General features: G+C 38.7%; 1 pseudogene; it reads left to right on the plus strand.

Moving 5' to 3' along the window:
- WBP11P3 (WBP11 pseudogene 3) lies at positions 367 to 2951 on the plus strand (annotated as a pseudogene).
- Positions 2952 to 5582: the final 2631 nt, after the last annotated feature.

A 5582-nucleotide genomic window follows, 5' to 3' on the forward strand; every position in this document is an offset into this window, starting at 1 on the left:
TCCAAAAAAGTAAGCAAAACAGAAAAAGCTTTAGTGACACTGAAAAAAAGAGAAAACCCAAATAAAATCGTAAAGAGCAAACATTACAACCCATATCACAGAAATACAAAAGATTATAAAAGACCACTGTGAATAATTATACATCAACAAATTAGATAACTTAGGAAAAATGGATAAATTTTCAGAAACATATAACTTACTGGATCATGAAGATATTGAAAATCTGAATGGACCAATAATGAGTAAACAGATTGAAACAGTAATCAAAAACCTCACAGTAAAGGAAAGCCCAGGATGAATTGTCTTCACTGTCTGCACTGTTGAATTCTACCAAATATTTCAAGAAATAGCGTCACTAGGAGGCACGCGAGGTTTCAAGATGGTGGTGGCTGAGGGGTTGACCGAGAGGCCGAGTTGAAGGCTCTTAAGAAGTTAAGAGGCCAGAAATCCCACCCTCCCTGCTTCTCGCAGTCCTGGGAGCACAGCAGAAGGGTTTTTCTTAATATTTTTTTAAATGAACCAGTAAAACATACAAATTGTGACCATGGAATGGAGATCTACATCATCCACCAAGAGTGGAAACTTTATGAGCCCCATAGACCAAGCCCAAAAGGAAGCCCAGAAGAGAGAATTGAAGAAGAGCAAAAAACAGCACAAGATGGTTCCAGCTCCAGTTTTAAGGATGAAGGATCCCAAACAGATTATCTGAGACATGGAGAAATTGGATGAAATGGAGTTTAACCCAGTATAACAGCCACAATTAAATGAGAAAGTATTAAAAGACAAGCGTAAAAAGCTGCGTGAAACCTTTGGTATTCTACGACTCTATGAAAAAGAGAATCCAAATATTTACAAAGAACTGAGAAAGCTAGAAGTAGAGTATAAACAGAAGAGGGCTCAACTTAGCCAATATTTTGATGCCGTCAAGAATGCTCTGCATGTGGAAATGGAGAGTATTCCTTTGTCAGATATGCCACATATTCCTTCCAACATTTTGATCCAAGACATTCCACTTCCCGGTGCCCATCCACCCTCCATCCTTAAGAAAACCTCAGCCTATGGACGTCCAACTCGGGCAGTTTCTATCCTGGCTCTTCTTGGACATGGTGTTCCACGTTCGCCCCATGGCAGAAAACCTCTTTGCCCTCTCTCTGGCCCACCTCCTTCTCAAGTCGTGCAGATGTACGGCCGTAAAGTGTGTTTCGCCCTAGATCTTCCCCCATGTAGGCGAGATGAAGACATATTTTATAGTCCTGCACTTGCCCAGAGAGGTCATGATGATGATGTTTCTAGCACCAGTGAAGATGATGGCTATCCTGAGGACATGGATCAAGATAAGCATGATGAAAGTACTGATGACAGTGACACCAACGGATCAGATGGAGAAAGTGAGGAGGATGAATTTGTGCACCATGATGATGGTGAGAGAGACAACAATGAAGAAAAGAAGTCAGGTCCTAGTGTACAGTTTGCAAATATGCCTGGAAAATCAAGGAAAAAAAGAAGAACATGAAGGAACTAACTCCTCTTCAAGCTATGATGCTTCGTATGGCAGGTCAAGAAATCCCTGAGGAGTGATGGGCAGTAGAAGAATTTTCAGCGGACGGTGATGAAGATGATTCTGATGACTCTGAAGCAGAAAAGCAATCATAAAAACAGAATAAAGAAGAATCTCATGCTGATGGCACATCCACTGCTTCTTCATAGCAGCAGGCTCCCCTGAGGTCTGCTCCTCCTTCTCAGATACAAGCACCTCCCATGCCAGGACCACCACCTCTTGGACCACCACCTGCTCTACCATTACGGCCTCCTGGGCCACCTACGGGCCTTCCTCCTGGTCCACCTCCAGGAGCTCCTCCATTACTGAGACCATCTGAAATGCCAGGACTCCAAGGGCCTTTACCCCAACTTTTACCTCCAGGACCACCATGAGGCTTGACCCCCTGTCCCTTTCCCAGGTCCAACTGCAGGTATGCCTCCTGGTCCCCCTCCTTGGGGACCCCCACCAAGAGTACCTCCAGGTATTCCCTCACCTTGTCCCGGCATGATGCGCCCACCTTTGGTGCCTCCCCTTGGACCTGCCCCCCTGGGTTTTTCCCACCACCTCCCTAGCCGAACCCTGGGGTTTTTTAAGTGCCCCACCCAACTTGATTCAGCAACCCAAAGCGGATGATATGAGTGCAGCCACGATTGAGAAGAAAGCCACAGCAACCATCAGTGGCAAGTCACAGATCAATAATACCAAGGCAGAGATTACTCTACTTCTGCCCACTGCACTGAGAGTTCGTTGGGAGAATAAAGGGGCTACTGCTGCTCCCCAAAGAAAGTCAGAGGATGATTCTGCTGTGCCTCTTGCCAAAGCAGCACCCAAATCTGGTTCTTCTGTTCCTGTCTCAGTACAAACTAAGGATGATGTCTATGAGGTTTTCATGAAAGAGATGGAAGGGCTACTCTGACAGCTTTTGATGCCATAACAGGCTTCTGTTCACAACAGTGGCCAATGGAGAAAGAAAGAGGCTCTTATTAAACTGAGATGAGAGAGCTGCTTCCATTGTCAGGGTATTTTCTAATTTCAGTTCAAGAAGTATCCTAAAATTTAGCCTTGTTCAGAATTTACTACACATAAAAGAGGGTATTTCATTCAGAATATATCAGTTATTGAAGCAGTGCTGCTAACATCCATTCCGTTTCACACCACCATTCTCATCCTATTTCTTGCCCTACTCTAATTATTTGGAAATTTGTGATCGGGGGATCTTAATTGCTTATTTGTTTTGACTCTGTTCTTGTGTGCTGTGGACACTAGAGTAGAGATTTCTGAAAAACCAGTTTATTTCATCTTGCCTTTTGTTTTTGAGTTATTTTTAAGTTATTTTTAATTTTGTTTTTGAGTTATTTTAATTTTCCTATAAATATTTTGTAATATTTTACTTGTAATGAAATGGATCACAATGTCATTTCCTAATACAAGGCAGGATATGTGGGAAGAAAATGTACAATTATTTGATTAAAATTATTCCCCATTGACCTAAACTTTGAGTGATTCATGGGAAAAATAAATAAATGTTCTACACCAAGATAAAAAAAAGAAAGAAATTGTGTCACTACTTCTCAAACTGTTTCAAACATTCAAAGAAGAGAAAGCATCTCGAAACTCATTTTAGGAGGAGAACATTACCCTAACATCAAAGCCAGACAAAGACACTACAAGAAAAGAAAATTACAGATCAATATATGTAGAAAGATGAAACCGGATCCCTTCCTTACACCTTATACAAAAATTAATTCAAGATGGATTAAAGACTTACATGTTAGACCTAAAACCATAAAAACCCTAGAAGAAAACCTAGGCAATACCATTCAGGACATAGGCATGGGCAAGGACTTCATGTCTAAAACATCAAAAGCAATGGCAACAAAAGCAAAAATTGGCAAATGGGATCTAATTCAACTAAAGATCTTCTGCACAGCAAAAGAAACTACCATCAGAGTGAACAGACAGCCTACAGAATGGGAGAAAATTTTTGCAACCTACTCATCTGACAAAGGGCTAATATCCAGAATCTACAATGAACTCAAACAAATTTACAAGAAAAAAACAAACAACCGCATCAACAAGTGGGCGAAGGATATGAACAGACACTTCTCAAAAGAAGACATTTATGCAGCCAAAAAACACATGAAAAAATGCTCATCATCACTGGCCATCAGAGAAATGCAAATCAACACCACAATGAGATACCATCTCACACCAGTTAGAATGGCGATCATTAAAAAGTCAGGAAACAACAGGTGCTGGAGAGGATGTGGAGAAATAGGAACACTTTTACACTGTTGGTGGGACTGTAAACTAGTTCAACCATTGTGGAAGTCAGTGTGGAGATTCCTCGGGTATCTAGAACTAGAAATACCATTTGACCCAGCCATCCCATTACTGGGTATATACCCAAAGGATTATAAATCATGCTGCTCTAAAGACACATGCACATGTATGTTTATTGCGGCACTATTCACAATAGCAAAGACTTGGAACCAACCCAAATGTCCAACAATGATAGACTGGGTTAAGAAAATGTGGCACATATACACCATGGAATACTATGCAGCCATAAAAAAGGATGAGTTCATGTCCTTTGCAGGGACATGGATGAAGCTGGAAACCATCATTCTCAGCAAACTATCGCAAGGGCAAAAAACCAAACACCGCATGTTCTCACTCATAGGTGGGAATTGAGCAATGAGAACACATGGACACAGGAAGGGGAACATCGCACTCTGGGGCCTGTTGTGGGGTGGGGTAACGGGGGAGGGATAGCATTTGGAGATATACCTATTGTTAAAAGAAGAGTTAATGGGTGCAGCACACCAACATGGCACATGTATACATACATAACAAACCTGCACATTGTGCACATGTACCCTAAAACTTAAAGTATAATAAAAAATTTTAAAAAAAAGAAAAAATATTCCTTATAAATATAGATGCAAAAATTCTCAACAAAATACTGGAAAATTAAATTCTACAGGACATTAAAAAGATCATACACCATGATCAAAGGGACTTATCACTGAGATGCAAGGATGATTCAACATATGTAAATCAATTGATGTGATATATCACATTAACATAATGAAGAACAAAAATCATATGATCACCTCAATAGATATGAAAAAAGCATTTAACAAAGTTGAATGTTATTTCATAATAAAAATACCCAACAAAACAGGTGTACAAGGAATGTACCTCAATATAATAAAAGGTGTATATGAAAAGATAACTGTTAACATCACATCATATTTGACCTCTGTTATTGAAAATCAAATGAGGATGCTCACTCTCACCACTTCCCTCCGACATAGCACTGAAAGCACTAGCCAGAGTAATTAGATAAGAAAAAATAAATAAAAGAAATGCAAATAACAAAGGAAGAAGTAAAATTATGTCTGTTTGTAGATGACATGATCCTAATTTGTACAAACTCCAAAAGTATTATTAGAACTAATAAAATAATTCAATAAAATTGCAGGATACAAAGTCAATATAAAATAAGCTACATTTATATACACTAACAATGAACCATCCTAAAAGAAAATTAAGAAAACAATTCCATTTACAATAGTATAAAAATGTAAAAATAATACTTATGAGTAAAGTCAACCAAGTTGCTAAAAGACTTATACACTGAAAACTACTGAACTTCAATGAAAGGAATTAAGGGGCACAAATAAATAGAAGGACATTTAATGTTAATGAATTAGAAGAATTAATATTGCTAAACTGCACATACTACCAAAAGTGATGTACAGATTCAATGCTATCCCTATCAAAATTCCAGTGGCAGTTTTATACGTCCTAGAAACACCTTAAAATTCATGTGAAACCACAGAAGATTCAGAATATACAAAGTGATATTTAAAAAAAAAATAAAGATGGAAGCATCAGACTTTCTGATTTTAAAATATATTATAAAGTTATAATAATTAAAATAGTGTGTTATTAACATAAAGACCAACATAGCTACCAATGGAAAAGGATAGAGAACACAGAAATATATACCCAAAGATGCAGTCAGCTGATCTGC

The sequence above is a fragment of the Homo sapiens genome, chromosome X (assembly GCF_000001405.40).
Source record: "Homo sapiens chromosome X, GRCh38.p14 Primary Assembly".
Classification (NCBI taxonomy): domain Eukaryota; kingdom Metazoa; phylum Chordata; class Mammalia; order Primates; family Hominidae; genus Homo; species Homo sapiens.